Below are 27084 nucleotides of genomic sequence, written 5' to 3'. Positions count from 1 at the left end.
CTCCCGGTGTGGAGTCTTCAGTGCTCCCCGCCTTCCGGGTCTCTCAGTACTGACTCCCCGTATGGAGTCTTCAGTGCTCCCCGCCTTCCGGGTCTCTCGGTACTGACTTCCGTGTGGAGTCTTCAGTGCTCCCCGCCTTCCGGGTCTCTCGGTACTGACTCCCGTGTGGAGTCTTCAGTGCTCCCCGCCTTCCGGGTCTCTCGGTACTGACTCCCCGTCTGGAGTCTTCAGTGCTCCCCTCCTTCCGGATCTCTCAGTACTGACTCCCGTGTGGAGTCTTCAGTGCTCCCCGCCTTCCGGGTCTCTCGGTACTGACTCCCGTGTGGAGCCTTCAGTGCTCCCTGCCTTCCGGATCTCTCAGTACTGACTCCCCGTATGGAGTCTTCAGTGCTCCCCGCCTTCCGGGTCTCTCAGTACTGACTCCCGGTGTGGAGTCTTCAGTGCTCCCCGCCTTCCGGATCTCTCAGTACTGACTCCCCGTCTGGAGTCCAGTGCTCCCCGCCTTCCGGGTCTCTCAGTACTGACTCCCCGTCTGGAGTCCAGTGCTTCCCGCCTTCCGGATCTCTCAGTACTGACTCCCGTGGGGAGTCTTCAGTGCTCCCCGCCTTCCGGGTCTCTCAGTACTGACTCCCCGTATGGAGTCTTCAGTGCTCCCCGCCTTCTGGATCTCTCAGTACTGACTCCCTGTCTGGAGTCTTCAGTGCTCCCCGCCTTCCGGATCTCTCAGTACTGACTCCCTGTCTGGAGTCTTTAGCGCTCCCCGCCTTCCGGGTCTCTCAGTACTGACTCCCCGTCTGGAGTCTTTAGTGCTCCCCGCCTTCCGGATCTCTCGGTACTGACTCCTGGTGTGGAGTCTTCCGTGCTCCCCGACTTCCAGGTCTCTCAGTACTGACTCCCCGTCTGGAGTCCAGTGCTTCCCGCCTTCCGGATCTCTCAGTACTGACTCCCGTGTGGAGTCTTCAGTGCTCCCCGCCTTCCGGATCTCTCAGTACTGACTCCCCATCTGGAGTCTTTAGTGCTCCCCGCCTTCCGGATCTCTCGGTACTGACTCCCAGTGTGGAGTCTTCAGTGCTCCCCGCCTTCCAGGTCTCTCAGTACTGACTCCCCGTCTGGAGTCCAGTGCTTCCCGCCTTCCGGATCTCTCAGTACTGACTCCCGTGTGGAGTCTTCAGTGCTCCCCGCCTTCCGGATCTCTCAGTACTGACTCCCCGTATGGAGTCTTCAGTGCACCCCGCCTTCCGGATCTCTCAGTACTGACTCCCGTGTGGAGTCTTCAGTGCGCCCCACCTTGGGGCCTCTCAGTACTGACTCCCTGTCTGGAGTCTTCAGTGATCCCCGCCTTCGGAGCGTCTCAGTACTGACTCCCCGTCTGGAGTCTTCAGTGCTCCCCGCCTTCGGAGTCTCTCAGTACTGACTCCCTGTATGGAGTCTTCAGTGCACCCCGCCTTGGGGGCCGCTCAGTACTGACTCCCCGTCTGGAGTCTTCAGTGCTCCCCGCCTTCGGAGCCTCTCAGTACTGACTCCTTGTGTGGAGACTTCAGCGCTCCCCGCCTTGGGGGCCGCTCAGTACTGACTCCCCGTGTGGAGTCTTCAGTGCGCCGCCTTCCGTGTCTCTCAGTACTGACTCCCCGGGCCCGTCTGTCTTCTGCCTCCCTGGGTCCGGTCACTCAGCCTCGCTGGGCTGGCTCTGCTGCGTTCCCCAGGCTCGGTCCCGGGGTCTGCTCTTCCCCTGTGGGAGTCTCGTGTTGTGAGTCTCACCTCCCTCAGAAACTCACGCTCAGGCTCTGTGTGAAGGCCCCGGCTCGCATCCGCAGCCCGCACCTCCTCTGACTTCTGCTGCTCAGGGGCACCTTCAGCACGTGAGCCAGCCCCACGCCCAGACGCAACTGGTCGGAAACCAAAATCGTCTCCTCCCTTCTACAGAGGGGATTCCTGTGCCCACTTTGCTATTCCTGCCAAGGGAGCCAACGTTCTCTCCATCTCCTGGGCTCCAGACCATTCATTCTACAGAAGTTTATCAAATATGTAGTCTCCACCGTAATGCAGCGTGTAGTCTACTGGGAAAGGCAGAAGCTGATCCAATAACTGCATAAAATGCACAAAAGTACAACTGTGGAATGCCCTGAGAGAAAACACGAGGCCAGGAGGCAGGCTGAGAGCATCCGGGCCTGGGTCCGGTCCTGGGGCAAAGGCCCTGGAGCCCAGCAGAGGACGCTGGACCTCAGGCAAGAGACAAAGCTGGAGGTGCGGGAGGAGGCAGGAGCCGTGACACGGTCTCAAGGGTCTTTATTCTGAAGGCACTGGGGAGCCAGCAGGAAAGACGGTGAAGGTGGGCAAAACGGTCAGGAGTGGGTGGTGCTGAGGCTGCACTGACATCCACACCCTGCCTGGGCTCCGGGGCAGAGGCGGCGGCAAGCAAACGGCAGTGAGGCTGCAGCGAGGCTTGGGCTCTGGCTGGTGGATGGAGCTACGTGGTGGCAGCCGCCTCCTTGGTGCACACGCAGTCACTGATCCAGCTCACCCATGCCTCAGTCTCCACGTCTGTGAATGAACCGCCTTCCACTGGGGCCACAGGGAGAGGCGGACAGAGCCCACCTCCTGGTTGGCTGGTCTGGGCCCCTCTTGCCTGTGCAGTTGATAAGCCCTGACCCTTTGGGCTCATAGGAGACAACCCGCAGGGCTCAGTGTTAGCAGGGCTGATCTTGTTGACATTGTTGTGAGATTAAAGAAACCACTTACGTAAAGCCCTAGGCACAGGGTCGGAGACTTACTTGGTGCCTAATTGATGGTGATGGCTGTTATAGGAAGAGGGGCTTGGATTCGTGTATGAGGTTGCAAAACAAATGTTAAACCAGTTAAGAATGCATCGTAAGAAGCCACTGAACTGGAGGATGGACTATCTGCTTGTGCACAGACAGAGCCTTCCCTTGCAGTGTTTCTTCAGGTTTCATGTGGGCTGAGAGTCAGGTCAGTGCTGGGGAAAGTGAATTGAATCACTTTTGGCAGGAAAACTCGAGGTGTCTTTCCATAGCTGGGCTCCTGCCCTCTCAGTGCATCCCCCGAGACCCCGCGTTTGCCCATTCCTGGGACCACCCTGCCCTGATCCGCCTGACCCCTGAGAGGTGGCCTCATGGAAGCCATGGCATCAAACCAGTGATCCCAACCCTCAGCCTGGCATGCAGGACCCTCTATCCATGACTCCAGCCTGCCCGGGGGCCCTTCCTGCTGCGTGTCTTTCTTGGCGTGCCAGGCACAAGTCATGTGACTTCGCAGTCTGGATCCCCAACCTGGTCTCTGGCTTCCAAGAAGGACTTTCATGCAGCCTCCCCAGCACAGCTTCTCCCGAGGGTTAACCTCCTCCTCCCGTGAGCTTGTACACAAGCCAGGGACTGAATACCGCTTGCCTTTTGTACACCTCGTTTGTTTCATTCTGGACTCTCTGAACAAGTTGCAAGATGTTTGAAGGCAGAAGCCAGGTCCTACATACACTCTCTGGTTCTCTCCTTGTGCTGGACACATCAGAGGAACATTGTTAATGCTTGCTGTTGTATTGTGGGTAGGAAAATAAAAGTGCTGGATGGTGAGAGGTTGTGTCTAGAATGACATCTCCAGAGAGGGGCAGACGCGGCTGGCGGTGGTCAGGCCCTTCACGGTGCCAGCCACCACCAGGGGAAGCAGCATCCAGAGCCCTAAGATCCACACCAGGGCCAGGTAGGGCCTTGGAGGTGGAAAGGCTGCCTCTTTCAGTCTCGGAGTTAGGCTTGGGCTGAAATAAGTACAGCTGTGTAGCTATAGTGTAGACATTAGCATTAGGGAAAAGCACTGTAATTTGTCATTAGTATTCATTGCAAGTTTCAGCCAAGAAGGGTAATTTTGTTCAGGTTGAGGACATTTATAAGGTTAAGGTGATAGTGTTGCTTTAACAGAAAACTTGGACTTGTTTGCAACAGTGTGCCCCATCTTCACCTTCACCAGCCTGGCAGAGGGTTTCCCTCCCGAATGTCTCTTCCTTTGCTGGTGCAGCCCGCAGGCGTCTGCTTGGTATTGTTGGAATCTGTTTTGAGCTGTCCTCATGGTAACCTCTCTCCTGCCCAAACGATTCTACTCTCGAAGCTACTGACCCCCTAAAGCACATCCACACCCAAGATCCCCTATTTAGAAACTTCTCATGGCCCTCAACACTGGTAGAGTTCAAACCTGTGGAGGGGCGTTCATGTCTTCCTGCAGCTGAACCCTTCACTCTCCTTTCCCACCATCTCCTGCTCTCTGAGTAATGCCATCATCAACCTCACCGTCTCCCCTCTGCTGGCAATGCCCTTACCCCCATTAACAGCCGGCCTAATTCAAGCCAAATCAGATTTCCTTGATTGGAATTAACCTCTTTCTTTCCACAGTTTCTGCTGTGTCTTATTAAATCTCGCCAGGTCATGCATTGAAGATGTACACTTTGCTCTGATTGAATGAAAGAAAAAAGATGTGGTTACTGATGGCTTCATGATGAGCCTTTACCTTGGGCCGGCCACCTCAGGTGCCGACAGACCTGCCGTCGTACGTGTGCGACAGACCTGCCGTCGTCCGTGTGCGACAGACCTGCCGTTGTACGTGTGCACTACGTTCGACAACACACTTGACCCACTTCAATGGGACTGTGTCAATTTCTGTGTTTCCAGCGCTGACAGTGGTGAAGGAAACCACCACGGGGAATCCCGGGGGCTGGGGAATGCACCTGTGTGTTTCCTCCCCGAGCCCTTGTCCTTTCAAGGGAAGAAGAGACCCCCCAGGGCACCTGGACCGAGCCTCCTCCTGCCTCTGGCTGGGCTGGCTGTTTCCTCCGCAGGAAGATCAGTTTCCATTGGCTGCAGGAAACCCCCAGGCAGCCAGTCGAGGCAATGCCAGGACCCCTGGCCTGTTGGTGGCTTCACTTCCAGAAACCTTCCTGTTCATGTGATTACAAACTGATGTATTGACGACCGGCTCCCTTCGAAAGGGAGGGGAACAGCCTGGGCTGTGCCTGGTTACAGTGGGCCAAGGGAAAGGTGAGGCTTGCAGCCAGGGCCACCGGCCATCCTGGGCGATCGCGGGCTGCACGCTTGTGTCCTGGCTCTCTCGTTCCGGAGCTCTGGAGCTCTGCAGGCCTGAGCCGAAGGCCTGGGGCACGGCGTGCCACTGCTCACCAAGCACCACTCCAGATGTCTGCTTGGGCTGGTTGTGGCTTTAGGGCTTTGGACACTCAGCCTCCCTCTGCTGCAGGGCTCTGCCAAGAAAGCCGGAGGGACCCACAACACGGGCTGCCCCTCGGAATGGGTCAGCCAGGGATGCCAGGTGCTTAAAATTGCCCCAAAGCGTGTGATCGGGACCCCCACGGCCCAGCTGTCCTCCTGTAGCCTGTTTCACAGGGGTGGAGATGCCTCTCACGCCGTCAGGCTGTTGTGGGTAGAAGCATTCCCCTCTAGCTACCAATTGTATGCAGGTGCCTGTGCAGTGCTCATGAGGCTCCCTCTGTCCTGCCTGCCCATCAGGTTCCTGTGTGCGCTTGCCGGGCTCCAGATGCTGCCCAAGGGCTCTGCAAATGCTGACTGACGCTGGAATCTCCACCATGCTGTGAGGGGGGCACCCTTAACAGCTCCATTTCACAGGGAGTAAAGCAGGGCAGGAGGAGGCTCAGAACTTGTCTCTGGCCAACAGCTTGTGTGTGGCAGAGCTGGGATTCGAGCCCAGTGGTCTGGTTCCAGAGTCCGTGTCCCTCATCCGAGAATTCAGCTTCTGAGGTGTGATGAGGGCAAGAACATTCCAACCGAGCCACTTTTTTCAGCCCTGAGCCTCTGGGTAGAATGGGGATCACTATGAGCTGTAGCCAGGCATTGGCAGGGGCAGCCCCTGGGCCTGGTGGGTGCTGGGCATGGCACAGGCCATACTCCTGGTCTGCAAAGCACTCGCTTGTGCTCTCCTGACAGCCGCTGAGAGTGGAGAGTCACGAATGTGGGTGAGTGCATGCAAGTGAGGGCGGAAGGGCCTCAAGGGCAATCTTGCTCTCCCTCCTGCAACCCTGATGCAGCATCGGTCAGATGCTCAGGTTCGGGACCTGAGGGGGGCAGTGGTCAGATGCTCAGGTTTGGGTCCCCGGGGGCAGTGGTCAGATGCTCAGGTTCGGGACCTGAGGGGGCGGGGGTCAGATACTCAGGTTCGGGTCCTGACATGGCGGAGGTCAGATGCTCAGGTTTGGGTCCTGGCTGGTTTTCTTATTTTCTCACAAGCAGCTGTGACCCCCTTTTCAGCAGGGCTGATGGTCAGTGTGCGTGAATCAGCTCTTAAATGCCAGCACAGGAACAGCTGCAAATCCTTCTGATGAGGAAACGACTCCTGTGATTGCTGGACCCTCGGTCGGTTCCCATGGCGTCCAGGCATGGCACTCACAGAGGCATCTTGACATGGCCCCGCCACAGCATCCAGGTGCCCTCTTCTTTGTGGACAGTCCTATACCGCTCCTGCAGGACCATTAAGGGCCCTTTCTCCCATCTGTGGTCCAAACGACCTGGCGCCAAAGGAGTGAGCCCCTGTCTGGTGCTGGCACAACCGTTTGGGGCCCAGGCGCAGAAGGGATGGAGCTCCAGGAGCTGGCCATCCTCACGCTGGAACCCGGGGGCTGTGCGGTCTGGACGCTGGGGCTGCCCCAGTCTCAGTCTTGACTTTCCCCCAAATGTTAACAAAATCCCCTGTCTCCAGGGGAGATACTGGATTTCAATGTTTCCACATTCTTGCCACAAACAAAGCCGAAGGAAATCCAAATGGAGGATGATATGCCACATGGGGGTGGTTGTTGGATGATGAGTTTATTTTGCTTTGTTTTCAGTGCGGCCTAGGATTCTTCTGGAAGAAGTGGTCTGTTTGATTCCAACAGCAGTGACAGCCCAGCTCCTGTTACAGAAGTGGAAAACCAAATCTGCCACCAGGGACTGGCGTGTGAATTAAACATCCACTTGGAAACCGTATGCCCCACAGAAAGCCAAACCCGATCCCCACTCCTCTTGGGACATGAGAAAGGGAGGCCGCCGGGTGAAGCTGGAGAAGGGGTGGTCTGTGGAGGTCTCCCTTTGTGGAGCAGAGACCTTTGTTGCCACCTGAGGTATGCAGGTCAGGAATGCTGGTCTCAGGGCCCTCAGAGGGGACTCGGGAGAGGGGCTCGAGGAAAGCCATATGGTGGGGGTTACCTCGAACCCATCTCCCATTCCCACACTCTCCTAGAATAGCTGCCTGCCCCAGGAAGTGGGCTTTTCTGCCAACTTTTCTTATTAGCAGAGAACAGGCCCACACAAATGCAAAATAAATAAGCGGCGACTCATTTTTGGTTGAAATCTCATTGATCACAGAGCAGCCTGCATCCAGGAGCTGCTAGGCCAGGGTTTCTGACTTTTCTGCTGAGTGGTCACAGCCTGGGGCATCGTCTTCACCAGGCTCTGCTTTCCTGATGAGAGTGTCAGGTGCCAGCCATCCTGGTTAGCGGGGCTGTGCTGGGGGGTGCACACTTCTCAGGCACCAAATACACCCAGTGAAAATGTGCCACCCGCCTGCGCCTCCTGTGGCCTTCATCCCTGTGCCACTCCTGCAGGGACCCACAGCCTCTGTGCTCTGCAGGGACCCACAGCCTCTGTGCTCCCTGCAGGCAGCAGGTGCAGCCAAACATCAGCACAGCACAGTCCAGGCCTCGGAGGCTGTGGCCTTTGTCCCTGTGCCACTCCTGCAGGGACCCACAGCCTCTGTGCTCCCTGCAGGCAGCAGGTGCAGTCAAACATCAGCACAGCACAGTCCAGGCCTCGGAGGCAGCTTTTCCTCCCCAACCCCAGGGAGGCTGGGTAGGAAGCCTGCGGCCACACTGGCTCCAGGCTGACCAGCTCATCCCCACAGTGAGAGAAGCTGCTGTTCGCCAGCTGTGCAGGGCCACGTGGCGGCACCAATGCAGCTTCCTCCTGGCTCTGGTTGGGCTGCATGGCTATTAGCAGGGATGATGCCTGAGGGACAGATGCGAAGCCCCAGGCCAGGGGGACGGAAGGAGGGAGCAGTGTGGGTGTGTCCGTGTGTGTGCGTGTGTGTGTGCGTGTGTGTAGACCCACACCCTGAACACCTGAAATTTCCAGTTAAAGTGTACATGCACTTGCTTATACACATGCACACACATGTGTTCAGGCATGTGCTCAAAATGCTCACACATTCATAAACACATGCGTACACACTCACACATGCTCACTGTGCACACACGACCACATATTTATGCCCTTGCTCACACACATGCATTCAACCATACTCACAGACATGCACACACATTCTCACACCCAAACACACACAGGCACTCACCCATGCTCACACATATCCACCCATGGTCAAAGGTGTGCACACACGTGCTCACGCCCACACACATGCTTGCTAACACACTCACACTTGCACACTTGCTCACACACGTACTTACCCATGCTAACACACATGCACACACATGCTCATGCCCACTCACACACATGCTTGCTCATGCACACTTATACACATGCACTCACCCATGATCACACACATGCACACACGTATTACCTATGTTCACACACACCCATGCTGTCACACGTGCACACACATGCACTTATGCTCACACACATGCACACAGAACTGCTTGCTCCCATGTATGCACTCACCCACACACACCCATGCACACACGTGCTCACACCCACTCACACACATGCTTGCTCACACACTTACACACTCTCACACAAGCACACATGTGCTCACGCCCCTCCACATGCGCATGCACTCGCACACACAGAGGCCATAGCTGAGTTTTAGGGCCAGCTCTGCTACATCATCACTTCATGATTTGTGAGGCACTGGACAACTTCCAGGGATTGGGTTTTAATGGGTTTTGAAATGTTATCACTGTGCCAGCTGTAAATCTTTAAAAAGAGAGCAAAGTAAAACAGTTACTTTGCTCACTGCCTGATCGATGCTAAGGGAGATTTTTGTCCATAAGAAGGGGATGGCTGTTAAAAATCTCTGACGGCGATTCTTAAGTGTAGAAGCTCATGCACAAGAACATGGCATGTTCCATGGGTGCCCGTCATTCTGAGATCTGTCTCTGAAGTAAAGACACCGCTATTGGGGTTACCCATCGCCCACCAGCTGACAGGCCTGTGCTGGACAATTCCAGGAAGTCAGGAACCTCACCGATGCTCTCAAACTTCCCAAATAGGGGCCTTCACTCCACTTCTCGTCACCCAGGTACTAAGCTGACTACCTGGTAGTTATTTTTTCTGCTCCTCTTCCTCCTCCCACCCTCCACCCTCAAGGAGGTCTCAGTGTCTGTTGTTCCCTTCTTTATGTCCATGTGTTCTCATAATTGTAGTACCCACATTAGCACCCTAATAGGGCCCTCCAATCAGTGCCTTCAAGATGACCTTCTTCCTCCATAGCCAACATGAGAACCACCCCCACCCAAGGCAAGGTGGGCAGTGGGGAAAGCTTGCCCGAGTGCCTCAGGCTGAGAACAACTGCTAGACTCATCACACACTCCCATTTAGTGAGTGGTGCTACCCTGCACAAAGGCCTTCCCAGCTGTGACGGGTGTTTAGGTTGCACGAGAGATGTGTGTACGTGGGTGTGTGCAGGTGTAGGTGTGTAAGAGTGCATGTGCATACATAGGTGTGTGCACATGCGCGTGCATAGGTTATACATGCATAGGGGTGTCCCTGTGTGCAAGGGTTAAATGAGGCAGAGTCTCCCTAATTGCACCTTTCCTCTGTGAGGTGTAAGGCAGGCTTACCCTGAAGTACCAGCCCTGTGCAATAGAACTTTCTGTGCTACTCAATACAGAAGCAGCCAGCCATGTGTGATATGAACACTTGAAATGTGGCTTCTGCTGGTGAGGAGCTGAAATTTTAATCCAATTTAATTTTAACAGTTTCAAATGTGAATACAGATGCACTTCCCAATAAACCATCATAAGTTGAAAATAATCTAAGTTGAGATGCATTTACACCAAAACTACCAACCATCATAGGCTGGCCCAGCCTGCCTTAAATGGGGGCCCGGCCTGCCTTAAATGGGGGCCCGGCCTGCCTTAAATGGGGGCCCGGCCTGCCTTAAATTGCTCCGGCCACTTACATCATCTGACAGAAAGTTTATTTTATAATACATTGCCGACTATCTCATGTTACTTATTGAATACATATTAAAGTGAAACACAGGTCGATTCCATGTCTGTGCTATTGTGAATAGAGCTGCAATGAACATTTGCAGGCATGTGTCTTTGTGACAGAATAGAATACTATTCAGTCATAAAAAAAAGAATGAGATTGTGTCCTTTGCAGGGACATAGATGGAGCTGGAGACCTTAGCAACTAACGCAGGAACAGAAAACCAAACATTGCATGTTCTCACTTATAAGTGGGAGCTAAATTATGAGAACACATGGACACAAAGAGGGGAACAACAGACACTGGGACCTACTTGAGGGTGGAGGGTGGGAGGAGGGAGAGGAGCAGCAAAAATAACAATTGGGTGCTCGGCTTAGTACCTGGGTGATGAAATAATATGTACAACAGCCCCTGTATTAGTCCATTCTCATGCTGCTATGAAGAAATACCCAAGACTGGGTAATTTATAAGAAAAGAGGTTTAATTGACTCAGTTCTGCAGGGCTGGGGAGGCCTCAGGAAACTTACAATCATGGTGGAAATGGAGCATGTCCTTCTTCACATGGTGTCAGGAAGGAGAAGTGCAGAGTGAAGGAGGGGAAAAGGCCCTTATAAAACCATCACATCTTGTGAAAACTCACTCACTATCACAAGAAGAGCAGCATGGGGTGACTGTCCCCATGATTCAATTACCTCCCATTAAAAGGCATTCAATCTTTGTATCCTTAAATAATATATATATATAAAATATGATATCATATTTTATATATATATATTTGTCTAATTACGTGTTTTCAAATCATCTTCAATAATATTTTATACATTTTATATATATGTAAAATATGATATCATATTTTATATGATATCATATATTTGTCTAATTAGGTGTTTTCAAATCATCTTCAATAATATTTTATACATTTCCCCCCTGGAGGTCATTCCTACTTTTGGTTAGATTGCCAGGTTAACTTTCTTTCATTTTAAAGATTTTGTTGCTTCTGTGAATATCTTTTTTTACTATTATTTATTTGCACTCACTGTCTTCATTCTTCCTAGTCTCATTGCTAAATCCAGTGGTCCATTTCCTGGCCTTGTCTGACCCGATTGCCCTGAGCATTTGGTGGAGTGAGTGCCTGCACATCCCTGAGACACTTCCTGCTTTGTGTTCTTCACTGGGCTTCTGGTCTACCATACCCGTTGGCTTGCTCCTGGTTTTCTGGCTGTGACTTCTCATCCTCCAGTGACTTTCCCATCTCTCTGGCCCTTTAATGTCATGCGTCCTCAGGCGCTTGATGATCTCATCTGGTTTTGTGAGTTACTTTAAATATTATCTGTGGCGTGATGATTTTTGTTTTGAGTTTCCAGTACAAATCCCTCCCCCGCATTCCAGATTTGTCTATCAAACATCTCTCAACATCTCTGCTTGGATATGTAATAGGAATCTCAAAACCAGACAGGTCTAACTCTGCATTTCTGATCTCCTCACCCCACACCTCACTGTTCACTGACACTGCTTCTCTGGTGATTCCCCTGAGCAGATGGCATTTCCCTCCTTCCAGCTTGTGCAGACCAGGAACTGGGAGTTCCTGACCTGGACTCCTCCTCGACTCCATGGCGTCTGCAAGTCTTAAAAGCTCTACCTGGGAGACCTCTCCAGCCTTTAGCCCTGCCTGCCCTCCTTCACTGCCATCCTGTCCAGCCCACCATGACTTCTTTCCCACAGATGGAAGTGCAGAAAGTAGACTGGGCCTTCCTTTGCCACATTCGTCAGCTTTCTGAGTGGGAGCTGGAGGTGGTGCTTCCACTGCCCTGCTGTACCCACCCAGCCTCTCTGTGGCTCCTCAAGCCTCTCGAGACACTCCTGTGCCAGGGCCTTTGCACACACTTTTCTCCCTGCCTGAGCACCTCCAACTCCCTCCCTCCTCAGGTCTCTGCTGAAAGTCACCTTCTCAGTGAGGACATCTTGAAACGCACCCCATTCCCTGCTCTGTTACTTTCCAAAGCGCTCGTCATCATCTGTGGTGTATTTCACACTGACCTTGCTCTCACTGTAAGCTCAGGGAGGGCGGGGGGCTTCCATCTCTCTGTTCACGTCTCTCCCCCAGGGCCCAGAACCTTGAGCAGACAGCGGGGGCTCAGAAAACACTTGTGGAATGCGTGAACGAGCATACGTGGATTATGTTTTAAATGGTTATCCTTGGGGAATAGGAAAGAAATTGACTTGATGTTGATGTCACTCAGTTCTGTTGTGAATTTTAATAGGCTGTAGATGCTATAGAATTTTCTAGTAATCATACCTCCCACAAATAATGAGAGTTTTGGCTCATTCCTTCAGTTTCTTGCATCTTTTAGCATTTTTTATTGTTTTATTGCATGGGTCAGGGCTTCTAATGCAGAGTCAAAGGGAAGTGGTGAGAGGGGAGGTCCACACTGTTCTTGTCAATGGGAATACTTCTAAGGTTTCAGCATTAAGTATGAGTTTATTATTCTTTACAGATAGCTTTTGGTTAGTTACAATGTTCCTTTCTATTCCTAGTTTGCTAAGAATATATTTTGCATTTTGTAGCCATGGATGAGTATACAATTGCATCAAATAGTTTTTAATAAAACATTGATTATAAACTATTATAATACTATTATAACTATCAGTTACTAAATTATTGAGATAATTTTTTTCCTTTCAGATAGTATTATATATTTAGTAACAAGTAATATGTTAATTGTACAAACATATTGTTTTGATGTTGAATTACTCTTCCTTTGCTGACATAGTACTAATTGGCTGTGATGTAATTTTTTTTTTTTAGATGTAACTCACTTCTTTCTTGGGGGAGTTTTCTTAAGCATTTTTACATAAGGGAGATTATTAAAAAGTTTCTCCTGCTGTGCTGTGGTCTGGATATTTGCACCCCACCAAATTCATAAATTGAAATCTTGGAACCCCCAAGGTTATGGTGGAGGAGGTGAGATCCTTGGGAAGTGACACAGTCATGAGGGCAGAGCCTCACAAATAGGATCAGTGTCTTATAAAAGGAACCCCAGAGAGCTCCCTCAGCCCTTCCATCACGTGAGGACACAGCAAGAAGATGGCCATTCACCCATAAACCTGGAATAGGCCCTCACAGACACCGAACCTGCTGACACCGCGATCTTGGACTTCCAGGCTCCAAAAGGTGAGAGGCGAGTTTCTGCTGTGTATCAGCGCCCCCGTCTATGACATTTTGTCCCAGTAGCCTGGATGGACTGAGGCACATGGTCCTTGTTTGATGTTTTATATCTAGGGTATAGCAGCCTGATAAAATAGAGTGAATAGTAGTTCCTACTTTTCTATTCCGTGAAACGGTGTGGGAGGGACGGGAGCTGCTGCTCCCTTTATGGTCTGGCAAGACTTTCCAGTATAACCACCTAGGACTGAAAACTTACAGTAAAGGTTGGTTTTTGAATGTATTTTTTTTTGTTTTAATGATTATTCCTTCATTTACTTTTTATATATTTCATCTTGGTTTGATTTTGACTATATATTTAAAAATACTATCATCAACTTTATTGAAGTTTTAAAATTATGGCTACATGATACATCATTCATGATATTCTCTTGTAATTAAATTTGTTTCATTTCATTTCAAATAATGTATGTGGTGTCTTTTCTATTTTTTCTTGTTTTAGTTTTTCTAGGGTTTTATCTATACTTTTAGTTTTGTCAAAGAACCAACTTATTATCTTGTCTTATTAATTTATTATTTTCAGTTTCCTTACTTTATGCTCTTTGATGTGCAGGAGATGGCTTGGATTGAATTTCCATCACTTGTAGCCAAAAATGGCCTTACTAACCTGAGTTTTGCCTGTTTCCCGTAATGTGAGTCATTCTCCTTGGCACTCTCTGCACACCAGCTCCTCCTGGCCACTGTAGGTCTGGCCGGAAGCTGTGTCCAGGCTTTCTGGTGGGATTCGAGTGCCACCCTTCCTTCTGAGATTTTATTCTGTCCTGGGGTTCACATCCCTACAGGGAAAGCCTTGGGCTCCCAAATGTCCCCTCATTTGCTGTGAGCTCTGGGACGAGGCAGCCTGGTGTTTTCTTCTGCCTCTGCACAGATGCTGTCGGGGAGGCTGCTCTTCTCCGGGACACCTTTGACTGTTCCGTGGGTGGCCTGTTTATGCCTCAGTCCACTTCTCTTCGCCTGTGAGGGCTGGGGAGGATTCTTGGCGGGGGACTCATGCTCTTACTGTCTCTCCCCTGCTTCTGGGATGTGGGCGGTGAGATGAGACAGAGCCCTTATTTTCTCTTCATCTTACCATTTTGAAATTTATGACATCTTTCCTTATGTTACTGCTATTCATTATTTTTTGTTTTTAACTGCATTTTCTACTACTCATTTACTTTTTGTTTTTTTGGGTCGTGAGTGATCCTTTATTGAAATATTTTCCTTTGTGCTTCTTAACTAGCCAGCACTCCACATTTCATGGTCATCCGTGGCATGATGAGGTGGTGCCATCGACACCGTGGCTTGCAGACTGGGCAGTCCCTAGGAGCTCTAGTGGTTCCAGAGAGTTCTCTGGCTAAAGATCGGTGCTGCATCTGTCTGGCAATGTTGACAATCTCATCGCAAGTGATATTTCCACTCTAATATTTTTCTGTTTCTTTCTGCTTCTTGGTGGTTCCTTGAGGGCTTTGATAATCAGAGCAGAGGCAGATGGCATGGCCTCCGCCTGGGCCTGTCTGTTCTAATGGTCGGTTTCCCTGTGGTCCTCAGAACCTTCTAGTCCCTGGTTGCCTTGGTGATGTCATCAGCAACCTTTTCTGGAGACAGACCCAGGGGGCCAATCTGGGGGGCCAGGGCAGACGTGGCACTGACTTCAGCACCAGTGAACTTAGGAATTCGACTTTGATCTCCTTGGGGTCAAACTTAGGTGCATGGTGGCGGTGGCCACTGTCAGGTAAACCCAGATTTGGGACAACCAAGAAAGTTTCACCTTGGTCTCTCCTGAGCTGAAAATAAAGAGCTAATTTTTTGTTGTCTTTTTAATAAACAGTTTCCTTTGGTGCATTTCGTTAGGTTTGGTGGGAGAGGATTTTGCGATTCAGCTTCATGTCACTGTCACCATCTTTGTCTGGGAGACCAGGATGTTTATCTTATTTAAATGATAGAGAAGCCACAGAGAAGCCATTGATTCTTTGAAATATGTCCTTCCTGGGTAAATACCTAGTTAATCAAAGTAGAAAGGTTTTTAAAATGTTTTAGTTTGCCTTATTTTTGAATTATTATTGTTATTATTATTTATTGATTTCTTTATTTTTGAGACAGAGTCTCGCTCCTTTGCCCAGGATGGAGTGCAGTGGCACGATCTTGGCACATTGCAAGCTCTGCCTCCCGGGTTCACGCCATCCTCCTGCCTCAGCATCCCGAGTAGCTGGGACTACAGGCGTCTGCCACCATGCCCGGCTAATTTTTTTGTACTTTTTTTAGTAGAGACGGGGTTTCACCGTGTTAGCCAGGATGGTATTATTCTTATTTTGAAATCACACTTTTAACTTGGAGATAATTATAGGTTAATATGCTGTTGTTAGAAATACCACAGAGGCTGTGTGTGGCCTTTACCCAACTTCCCCATTCATCACATTTGGTAAATGGTGGCACAATCACATAACCTGGATGATGCCATCGGTGCAGTCAAGACGCAGGCCATTCCCATCAATCCCAGATCCTCCTGCCTCCATCCCCATTCTCAGCCCCTGGTGACTACTCACAGGTTCTCCGTTTTAATAATTTTGTCATTCCAAGAATGTCACATAAGTGAAACTATGCAGTGTATGCCTTTTGAGATTGTCTTTTTTTTCCACTCAGCGTGGTTTTCTGGAAATCCATCTGAATTGTGTATCTGTAGTGTGTTTCCTTTCTTGCCTGGCTGTATTTCACAGTGTGGATGCACTATGGTTTGTTTAACCTTTCTGGTTGGAGGACATCTGTGTGTTTTCCCCTTTTGGGCTATTACAAATAAAGCTGCTACAAACATTTGTACTCAGGATTGTGTGTGAACATATGTCTTCTTTTCTCTGGGATAAATACCCTGGAGTATTATTGCTGGGTTGTATGACAGTTGCATATTTTGCTTTTTAAGAATCTGCCAAACTGTTTTTCAGAGTGACTGTCCATTGTGCATTCCCACCCACAATACGTGGGTGATGCTTCCCCCACATCCTTCCTGGTATTTGAAGTTATAATTATTTTTATTAGTCATTTTGATAGGGGTGTCGTGGTTTTAGTTTGCATTTCCCTAATGGCTAATGATTCTGAACATCTTTTCATGTGCTCATTTGCCCTCTGTATATTCTTCTAGGTAACTAAGTCTGTTCATGTCTTTTGCCCATTATCTAGCTGGAGTGTTTATTTTCTTTCTATTGAGTTTGAGAGTTCTTTATATATTCTGGATATCAGCCCTGGGACATATGGTTTGCAAACATTTTTTCTCAGTTTGTGGCTTGTCTTTTGATCCTCTTAACAAGGTCTTTTACAGAGCAAAAGTTTTACATTTTGATGAAGTCAATTTATCAATGTTTCATTTTATGGATTAGGTTTTGATGTCAAGTCTAAGAACTTTGCCTAGCTCTAGATCCTGAAGATTTTCTCCTATGACTTTTTTCCTAGAAATGTTATCATTTTTATGTTTTGCCTTTAAATCTGTGATCCATTTTGAGTTAACTTTTGTATAAGGTGTGAAATTTAGGTCATGGGGAAATGCCGCCATGTTTTTCCTGGGGATATTTAATTTCTCCAGCACTACTAACTCAGAGAGTGATCTTTCCTCCATTTAATTGTTTTTGTACTTTAAAAAAAATCTGCTGGGCATATTTGTGCAGGTTTGTTTCTGGGTTGTTTATTCTATTCTATTGACCCATGTGTCTACCTCTGTCAATATTATAGTGTCAATTACAATAGGGGTATAGTAAGTTTTCAAATCACGTAGACTGATTCCGTTAACTTCCTTCTTATTTCTCAAAATTGTTTTAGCTAGGCTAGCTTTGTCTGTCTGTATGCATTTTTGAATAATCTTGTCTAAATCCAAAAAAATCCTGTTGGGAGTTTGACAGAAATTGTGTCAAATTTATATATTGATTTGCAAAGAATTGACATCTTTATTGTGTGGGGGCCTTCCAATCTATGAACATGGTATCTCTCCCCATTTTTATAGCTCTTCTCTGATTTCTTTTATGAATGTTGTGTAGTGTTCCACACACACACACACTGTCCATGGTGTTTTAGATTTATAGCTTAGTAGTTTATGTTTTTTCAGCAATTGTAAATGGTATTGTATTTTAAAATTTAGTGACCATGTGTTTGTTATGAACAAGAAGAAATACAATTGATTTCTGTAGGTTTCTCTTATATCTTGTGACCTTGTTGAACTCTCTTATTAGTTCTTTCATAGATTTCTCGGAATTTTCTACGTAGACAGTCATGTGATTTGCAAACAGGGACAGTTTATTTGTTTTCTATCTGTATGCTTTTCCTTTTATTTTGTCATTGCACTGGCTAAACTTCCAGAACTATGTTGAATAAAAGTGGTGAGAATGAATAGGCTTAGTGTGTTTCCAATTTTAGGGAAAAGCATCAATATTCACCATTAAGTACAATGTTAATGAATGGTAGAATTTGACAGATGCTCTTTATCTAGTTGAAGACGTTTCCCTGTATTTTTATTTTTATGAGATTAAAAAAACCCAAGATGGACATTACATTTTGTCAAATTTTTTTTTGCATCAACCGATACGATGATGTGGTTTGCCTTCTTTAGTCTGTTACGTGGTGGATTATAATGATTAGTTTTTGAAGATTAAACTAGCCTTGAATTTCTGGAATAAACCACACACTTGGTCATGGTGTATAATTTCTTCCATATGTTAATAAATTTTATTTTCTAATGTTTGTTAAGGATTTTTACACCTGTGTTCATGAGGGATATTGGTTTGCTGCTGTTTTTTTGGTGCTGTCTTTGGTTTTGGTATCAGGGTAATACTAGCTTCATAAAATGAATTGGGAAGTGCTGCTGCTTCTATTTTCTGGAAGAGATTTTATAGAATTGGTGTTAATTCTTCTATGAAGCTTTAGTAGAATTCTCCACTGAAACTGTCTGAGCCTGGAAATTTCTTTCTCTGGGGGCCTTAAAAGCACAAACTCAATATCCTTAAGTGTTAAAGCGCTATTAAATTACCTATTTTAAATTGGGTGAATTGTAATAGATTGCATTTTTAAAGGAACTTGTCAAGTTTGTCTAAGTTGCCAAATTTAGTTTTATAGAGTTATTCAAAGTATTCTCTTATTATTCTTTTGATGGCTCTAGGATTTGTAGTGATAGCCCCTGTTTTATTGCAGACATTGATAATTTGTGTCCTCTCTCTCTTTTCAGTCTTTCTAGAGGTTTGTCAATTTTATTGTTTTTGTTTCAGAGGAGCTTTTTGTTTCACTGATTTTCTCTACTGTTTTTCTGTTTTCAATTTCATTGACTTATGCTTATTTTCCTTCATTTGCCTCCTGCAGGTTTATTTTGCTCTTTTTTCTAGGTTCTTGAGATAGGAATGTAGTTTATTGATTTCAGTCTGTTTTAATGTGTGAATTTAGTGCTATAAATTTTCCTCTAAGTGCTGCTTTAGCTGCATCCCACAGGTTTTGATATGTTGTATTTTCATTTCAGTTTTCAATGTTTTTTCCTGATTTTTTACAAGAATTCCTCTTTGACTCATTGATTATTTAGAGAAATATGTTGCTCAATTTCCTGTGATTGGAGAACATGCTCCTTATAATTTCTTTTTTCTTTTTCAATTTGTTGAGGTTTGCTTTATGACTCAGGAGATGGCCAATCTTGATGTATATTCCATGAGCACTTGAAGAAAGTGTATTTTCTGCTATTGTTAGATGGAATATTCTGTAAATATCTATTAGATCTTGTTAGTAAATTGTGTTGTTGAGTTCTTTATTCTTGTTGATTTTATATCTAGTTGTTCTACCTATTGTTGATAGAAGGTTGTTGAAGTCTCCAACTATAATTGTAAATTTTTCTATTTCTTCTTCCGCTTATCACTTTTTGCTTCTTGTATTTTGCAGCTCAGTTGTTTAGGCCATACATATTTAGGATTGCTATAAATTTTTTGGTGGATTGACTCTTTATTATAATATAATGTCCCTCTTTGATAATTTTCTCTGCTCTGAAGTCTAATATGAATAACCACTCCTACTTTCCTTTAATGTTTGCATGCTATACATTTTTATATCCTTTTACTTTCAACCTTTATGTATTGCTATATTTGAAGATTGCATCTTGTAGAGTGTAAATATTTGGGTCATCGTTTTTAATCCACTCTGCCAATTTCTTTCTTTTATTTGAAGTATTTGGACCATTTACATCTAGTGTAATTATTGATATGTTAGGGCTTAGGTTTGCATGTTTTTTGTTTTTTCATTATTCTCTCTCATTTTTGTTGGTTTTCTTTTTCTTGACTTCCTGTGGTTCACTTGAACATTTTTAGAATTCCATTTTGATTTATCTATAGTGATTATGAGTACATCTTTTTGTAACTGTTTTAGTAGCTGCTTTCGGTATTACATTATATATAGGTAACTTATCACAGTTAACTAGTGTTATCATTTTACTGGTTTAAGTGAAGTAGAGAAACCTTTACTCTTTTTAATCTTCCTTTGTTATACCCTGTTTATAATATAATTGTTTCAAATATTTTCTTTATATACATTTAGAAGAACAGCAGAGAGCAGTATAATTTTTGCTTCAACATTCAAACATAATTTAGAAAACTCAAGAGAAAAAAATCCTATTGTATTTATTTATTTATTTATTTATTTTTGCTTACTGGGTTTTTTTCTGACTTCCTGATTTCTAAAACACCCCCTTTTATCATTTACTATTTGTTTAGAGAACTTCCTTTAGACATTATTTTAGAGTAGATCTGCTGATGACAAATTCTCTTAGTTTTCTTTCTTCTGAGAATGTATGAATTTTCCCTTCATTCCTAAAGGACATTTTCACTGGATATAGGATTCTGAGTTGACGGTTCTGTTCTTTTAAAAAAAATTGTGGCACTTCCTGCTGGTCTCTATGGTTTCAGATGAGAAATACACTGTTATTGCAACTTTTCCCCCAAAGGTAAAATATTTTTCTCTGGCTGTTTTCAGGCTTTTTTTCTTTGCCTTTAGTTGTCAGATGTATAATTATGATGTGTCTTGATGTGGATTTCTTTTGGCTTACCCTTTTTAGGGTTTGTTCAGCTTCTTGAACCTGTAGGTTTACATCTCTTGCAGAATTGGAGATGTTTTCAGCTATTATTTCTTTGATCACATTTTCTGCTCCATACTTTCTCCTCTTTTCATCACTCTAGTGACATGAATGTTAGATCTTTGTTATAGTCCTATAGAAGACCCCTAAGTCTCTGTTAATTTTTTAAGCAGTCTGTTTTCTTTCTGTTGTTCAGATTGAGTAATTTTTCTCATTCTGTCTTCCAGTTCACCAATTATTTCCTCTGTCCCCTGCATTATACTGTTGAAGTCATCCGCTAAGCTTTTTATTTTGGATGTATTATTTTCAGTTCTATGATTTCCCTTTGGTTCTTATTTACATCTTCTATTTCTATGCTGAGACTTGCTATTTCTTTGTTGTGGCTTCCTATTTTTTTCATTTGTTTCAGGTGTGTTTATAATTTCTTGTTGAGGTATTTTCGTGATAGCTGCTTTAAGATCTTTCTATTGTTTCTAATATCCCTGTCAGTGCTGGCAGGTAGTGATTATTTATTTTTCCATTCAGTTTGGGATCTTCCTGGTTCTTGGTACAATGAGTGGTTTTTGAATGAAATATAGACCTTTTTGTGTTGCATCGTGAGGGTGCTTTTTCTGGAGCGGCTCTGGCAGGGGTGGGATGGGGCTGGAAGTCCAGGTTTCCTATGTGGTCCTGTTGACAGAGGAAAGACAGTGCTGACTGTGAAAGCTCAGGCTTCCTGCATGGTCCCTGCATCACAGCGGGGAGGTGTGTTTCGGCCTCTTCCACCACCACTCCAGTGGGGCTGGACAAGGCTTGTTGGCAGAGCCTCATGAGGGTGGACTCCGAGGCCCTGACCTGACCTTCCCTGGCATGGTGTGGGGGTGGGACCACGTTTTCTTTCTGTGGTGTTGGCAGGAATGCAGTGGTCACCATCTCGAAGAGTTCTGTCTCACTGGGCGGCCCCTCCAGGGCCTTGGTTGCAGAGAGCCAGCATCTGTGGGGCTGCTTCTGGGCGGCCCGTCCAGGGCCTTGGCTTCAGAGAGCCAGCGTTTGCCGGGGCTGCTTCTGGGCGGCCCCTCCAGGGCCTTGGCTGCAGAGAGTCAGCGTTTGTGGGGCTGCTTCTATTTGTGCCCGTTGGTGTTTCTGGGTTGTGGCTTCTGCACTTCCAAGTCTGAGATGTGTGAGGCAAAAAGAAAGCCCAGGAACTTGCCACCCTGCTGTCCTTTGGGTCCTGGGTTCCCTGGCTGGTCTTTCTTTTCTCCCTCATTCAGCATCTTGTTTTATAGGTAACATCCAGGGTTTTTGTTGTGCTTGAAGGAGTAGGAAACAGTAAGTCCACCCCGTCTTTCTGGAAGCAGAACTTGCATTCGTGTCACTGCTGCGGTTTTCTCTGCTTCCTTGTCACGAAGAAACTGCTCTTTGGCTTATGCTTTTATAGCTTTGACGTCTTTACATGAGATGCCCAATGTTGCAAAGTAGTTATACTGTCAAGTATTTTTAAACAGTTTTGTCCATCAACCTGAAGTTTGCTGACTGTCCTCTTGTTCTTGCTAGAATAGTCTCCAAAATCTTTAAATGCTTGCTCCGTGGAGGCTCTTCCTATGCACTTCACATGTCGCATTCGGTCATCACAGCTTTCTGAGAGATCAAACACCGCCAGCTCCTTATGGCGAGAGGATGGAGGCTTGGAGACTCCAGACCCTGGTCCCAGGGGCCATGGCTGGCCAGTAAAGGAGCTGGGTGTCCAGGCTGCCTGGCTTCAAAGCTTGCACTGGTGACAGACACCGTGTCCTCTTTGGGAAGAACGGCTTGAGTGAGGGGCGGCTGGACTGCGGTGTGGCAAGGCTGTGGCCCCAGCTAGGACCTCACTCTGCAGAGGCTGCCTCCTGTGTGGTCCCAAGAGAGCAGGGCCTGGGTTATCCTGGTGGCCAGGACATTCCCTCTTCATTCCTGATTTGCTCTCTGAGAAACAGGCACAGCCAGAGAGTAGCCGCTCTTACCAAGGTGCACCCGGGGGACCTGGCACCATCTGCTTTAGCTGCACTTGGCGAATGCCCATCTGTCCTGCCAGCCAGGTGTCGCCAAGGGTGGCAGTTGTCCCAGACTCACCCAGGAACCCTGTGGTCTCCATGCTCTGCCCCATGCACTGGTTCACATTGTGATGACGTCATGTCACAGCAGGTATGAGAATGTCAGAGACTGCGGTCTCCCCACAGCAGGTTTGAGAATCTCAGAGACTGCAGTCTCCCCACAGCAGGTTTGAGAATCTCAGAGGCTGCGGTCTCCCCACAGCACGTTTGAGAATCTCAGAGACTGGGGTCTCCTCAGAGCAGGTTTGAGAATCTCAGAGACTGGTGTCTCCCCACAGCACGTTTGAGAATCTCAGAGACTGCGGTCTCCCCACGGCAGGTTTGAGAATCTCAGAGACTGCGGTCTCCCCACAGCAGGTTTGAGAATCTCAGAGACTGGGGTCTCCTCAGAGCAGGTTTGAGAATCTCAGAGACTGGGGTCTCCCCACAGCGGGTTTGAGAATCTCAGAGGCTGCGGTCTCCTCACAGCAGGTTTGAGAATCTCAGAGACTGCAGTCTCCCCACAGCAGGTTTGAGAATCTCAGAGACTGCGGTCTCCCCACAGCAGGTTTGAGAATCTCAGAGGCTGCGGTCTCCTCACAGCAGGTTTGAGAATCTCAGAGACTGGGGTCTCCCCACAGCAGGTTTGAGAATCTCAGAGACTGGGGTCTCCCCACAGCAGGTTTGAGAATCTCAGAGACTGCGGTCTCCCCACAGCAGGTTTGAGAATCTCAGAGACTGCGGTCTCCCCACAGCAGGTTTGAGAATCTCAGAGACTGCAGTCTCCCCACAGCAGGTTTGAGAATCTCAGAGACTGGGGTCTCCCCACAGCAGGTTTGAGAATCTCAGAGGCTGCGGTCTCCTCACAGCAGGTTTGAGAATCTCAGAGACTGGGGTCTCCCCACAGCAGGTTTGAGAATCTCAGAGGCTGCAGTCTCCCCACAGCAGGTTTGAGAATCTCAGAGGCTGCGGTCTCCCCACAGCACGTTTGAGAATCTCAGAGGCTGCGGTCTCCCCACAGCAGGTTTGAGAATCTCAGAGACTGGGGTCTCCCCATGGCAAGTTTGAGAATCTCAGAGACTGGGGTCTCCCCACAGCAGGTTTGAGAATCTCAGAGGCTGCGGTCTCCCCACAGCAGGTTTGAGAATCTCAGAGGCTGCGGTCTCCCCACAGCAGGTTTGAGAATCTCAGAGGCTGCGGTCTCCCCACAGCAGGTTTGAGAATCTCAGAGGCTGCGGTCTCCTCACAGCAGGTTTGAGAATCTCAGAGACTGGGGTCTCCCCATAGCAGGTTTGAGAATCTCAGAGGCTGCGGTCTCCCCACAGCAGGTTTGAGAATCTCAGAGGCTGCGGTCTCCCCACAGCAGGTTTGAGAATCTCAGAGGCTGCGGTCTCCTCACAGCAGGTTTGAGAATCTCAGAGACTGGGGTCTCCCCATAGCAGGTTTGAGAATCTCAGAGACTGGGGTCTCCCCACAGCAGGTTTGAGAATCTCAGAGACTGGGGTCTCCTCACAGCGGGTTTGAGAATCTCAGAGACTGCAGTCTCCTCACAGCAGGTTTGAGAATCTCAGAGACTGGGGTCTCCCCATAGCAGGTTTGAGAATCTCAGAGACTGGGGTCTCCCCACAGCAGGTTTGAGAATCTCAGAGACTGGGGTCTCCTCACAGCGGGTTTGAGAATCTCAGAGACTGCAGTCTCCTCACAGTAGGTTTGAGAATCTCAGAGACTGGGGTCTCCCCATAGCAGGTTTGAGAATCTCAGAGACTGGGGTCTCCCCACAGCAGGTTTGAGAATCTCAGAGACTGGGGTCTCCTCACAGCAGGTTTGAGAATCTCAGAGACTGGGGTCTCCTCACAGCAGGTTTGAGAATCTCTGCTGCCAAGTCTGGAGCAGAGGCGCGCCCTCATTTTTGGCCTGGCCCTGTGGCTCCAGCTCCTGCTCCATGGGATGATGTGCCAGTCTGTGAACAGGCATGGTCTGCTGACCCTGGGAACGTTGTCTTCTTGGGTGTCCTTGGTGCAGAGGTCAGAGAGAAGGGGATGGATTATAAGACTGCTGGGATTTTTGGTGAGAAGACAGCTCAGTGCTGCTGGAAAAGCTCCCTCTGATGCATGCTCCTAGGTTTGGTGACCACCTGTGTCCTGCTCAGGCAAGCCAGGCAGAGACTTGCTCATTAGTGGCCTTGCGTGACCTGGAGACACTTTTGTGAGTAGCGGGCTTGTGTGTTTTATACCAGAGTGGATGTGGGGCCCAGGTGTGGGCCAAGCAGGGCAGCGCTTGCTCTGCAGAAGCAGGTTTGTAACATTGTTGAGCGGGTATGTTCTATGCAAGAGGGACTTTTTATTTAAAAAGGTCATGAGATAGTGTTATTTATTTATTTATTTATTTTTTGCCTAGAATAAAAACGCAAATTCATAATTTTTGAGGGGTGGGGGTGGGAAAGGGGAGGAGAGAGAAATAGAATGTGAAATGATTGAGCATTCACAAGTGACAGACGCTTCACCTCAAGGGCATTTAGAAAAGGCCTGCATAGATCAGGTGCTCTTCCTTCACGCCAGTGGCATTTAGAAAAGGCCTGCATAGATTGTTCCACATGAGACTTCACTGAAATCTTATAGGGTTTGTGAAACATTCTACCCGGTGTCTGCAGACCTAAATCAGTACTTTCCAAGTTAGATGGAAAGAAGATGGAGTAAAATGAAGCTTTTTGAATCTTAGTAGGCTCCAGATATGGTTTCCTTTTTTAAATATTTGTTCTCAACCCTGGAACTTTGCCTTCAGGGCCGTGCAGCCCACCCAGCCATTGGTGACATCCGTGCCCAGCAGCATGGACAGTGCCTCTGGGCTGTGCCAGGCCATGCTGGGCACTGGTCATGTCGGGACGGCGCTGGCTGTCTGGCAGGAACAGTGAGGAAGCTGCGCGGACGCTGTACCTCAAGTGGCTGTGGGCCCTAGGAGGACAGACCTGGGGCTGCTTGGGACAGGTCCCCGGAGGAGGTGATGATGGAGTCTTGAAGACAGGAGGCCGGCCCGATGTGTGCCAGGCCTGAGCTGCTGTATGCAGCTCTGTGGATCGACATTGTGGGGAGGTGACAGAAGATCCCTGAACTTACAGGAAAAGCAGAATCCTCTCTGAGGCTTGAGGTCCAGCACCTGAATTGCTCTCACTTGGTGTGGCTGAGAAGAAAGAGTCTCTTAGAAAATAGTATTTATCTAGCATTTCAACTATGGGTTTTTTTTGTCTATAGGATGGCTCTGTTGTGACTAATTGCAAAATACTTTTTTTTTTTTAACCTGGAGTTGCAATCTATGTTAAATTGTTTGGAATAAACAGGGGGCTCGTAGCTGGCTCCTGGATTGGACCTGGAGTGGGGAACCCTGTGCCTGCAAACAGGCTGGCCAGCTCGGCCTCCGTGCACCTGCCTGCCCCAGCTTGGGTCTGGCATGCACCCTGGAGGTACACTGGGCTCCATTCCCAGAACAGACGAAGAACCTCCTCTGCTCTTCTCCCCAGTCCAGCCCGGCCCAGTGTCCTTCCCACTCAAGCTGCAGCTGTCCCCTGTGCCCCTGGTGTAACCAGGCTCTTAGCCACCTGCTTGTTTGGGCCAGACCTGTTCCCTAAGGTTGGAGCCCATCCTGTCCTGCTGGCTCAGCCAGGGGCCCTGCTCCCAGTGCACAGAAGAGCCTGTGGGGCTCCGCTGCCCTCCAACTCCAGCTTCCTGGGTCCATCAGCTGGCCTGGCTCCTGGGAAAGTGTGACCTGGCTGGCCTCCCCCCGCCATTGTGGAAGGAGGAAATCAATTCCAGCATCTGAAATGAAGGGGAATTATTACTTGCACAGTAGAGAGCTGTATCTCCAAGGCACGGTCTCTGAACACAGCGAAAAGCAGATATTGCCCAGCCTTTGAGGAAGCGTGGAGTCCAGAACCAGCAAAGGTTCAGAAGCAAGGGGGGCGTGATCCCTGCAGGGCGCTCTGGTAAGGGCAAGGTCCCACCTTTCAGAAGCTTCTGAAGTGTCGTCGCTGACCCATTGGGACGGGGCTTAAGTCACCTTTGTGTTTTACTTGTTCACAGCTTCTAAGGCCAAAGAACCGTCAGGTGTGTCCTTTCTTGAATTTGGAGGACAGGATTTTTATTCTCACCATGCATGGTGGGACCAGCCTCCCCAGGGCCAGTCCAGCAGCGAGGCTGGTGCCTCTGCCCCACAGCACGGTGTCCTTGTCGACGTCCCTCCCAGGCTGGCTGTGAGGAGCAGAAGTTTACTGCGGGTGCTGGGCTTTCGGGTGTCCCCTGTAGGATTCCTCCTGCCCCATTTTCTAGTTCCAGGGCCTTGCACGTGTTACATCTTCACTGCTAATGCAGAGTCTCCATAACACCGTGCGATGAGGTGACGGTGTGGCTGTGTGGCATAAATCAGGAGCCAGGATGCAGCATCCCAGACCTCACCGGGCAGTAGAGACCCCAAAGGCAGGCGAGTGGACCTCTCCCGATGAGGAAGAAGGGGACACAGCTCAGGGACAAGGGGCCCGGGATCCAGGCAGCCATGGACGAGCGGACAGGAGCCAGACTGGGCATGAGAGGTCAGAGCATG

At 48.2% G+C, this 27084-nt stretch overlaps 1 pseudogene, besides 5 other annotated features; it reads right to left on the bottom strand.

Annotated features, from left to right (window-relative positions):
* Positions 5728–6227: an enhancer, noted in NCBI's record as "H3K4me1 hESC enhancer chr6:170523871-170524370 (GRCh37/hg19 assembly coordinates)". NCBI's record gives its function as "activates a minimal SCP1, AML or CMV promoter by ChIP-STARR-seq in naive and primed H9 embryonic stem cells {active_cell/tissue: H9 hESC(naive and primed)}" and the evidence as "EXISTENCE:reporter gene assay evidence [ECO:0000049][PMID:30033119]".
* Positions 6228–6729: an enhancer, noted in NCBI's record as "H3K4me1 hESC enhancer chr6:170523369-170523870 (GRCh37/hg19 assembly coordinates)". NCBI's record gives its function as "activates a minimal SCP1, AML or CMV promoter by ChIP-STARR-seq in naive and primed H9 embryonic stem cells {active_cell/tissue: H9 hESC(naive and primed)}" and the evidence as "EXISTENCE:reporter gene assay evidence [ECO:0000049][PMID:30033119]".
* Positions 7269–7775: an enhancer, noted in NCBI's record as "H3K4me1 hESC enhancer chr6:170522323-170522829 (GRCh37/hg19 assembly coordinates)". NCBI's record gives its function as "activates a minimal SCP1, AML or CMV promoter by ChIP-STARR-seq in naive H9 embryonic stem cells {active_cell/tissue: H9 hESC(naive)}" and the evidence as "EXISTENCE:reporter gene assay evidence [ECO:0000049][PMID:30033119]".
* Positions 7776–8275: an enhancer, noted in NCBI's record as "H3K4me1 hESC enhancer chr6:170521815-170522322 (GRCh37/hg19 assembly coordinates)". NCBI's record gives its function as "activates a minimal SCP1, AML or CMV promoter by ChIP-STARR-seq in naive H9 embryonic stem cells {active_cell/tissue: H9 hESC(naive)}" and the evidence as "EXISTENCE:reporter gene assay evidence [ECO:0000049][PMID:30033119]".
* Positions 14629–15074, bottom strand: RPL12P23 (ribosomal protein L12 pseudogene 23; annotated as a pseudogene).
* Positions 25394–25894: an enhancer, noted in NCBI's record as "H3K4me1 hESC enhancer chr6:170504194-170504694 (GRCh37/hg19 assembly coordinates)". NCBI's record gives its function as "activates a minimal SCP1, AML or CMV promoter by ChIP-STARR-seq in primed H9 embryonic stem cells {active_cell/tissue: H9 hESC(primed)}" and the evidence as "EXISTENCE:reporter gene assay evidence [ECO:0000049][PMID:30033119]".

Source organism: Homo sapiens, chromosome 6 (genome assembly GCF_000001405.40).
Source record: "Homo sapiens chromosome 6, GRCh38.p14 Primary Assembly".
Lineage (NCBI taxonomy): Eukaryota > Metazoa > Chordata > Mammalia > Primates > Hominidae > Homo > Homo sapiens.
Note: the sequence above shows the minus strand (reverse complement) of the source record. Positions and strands in the feature narration are given on the sequence as shown.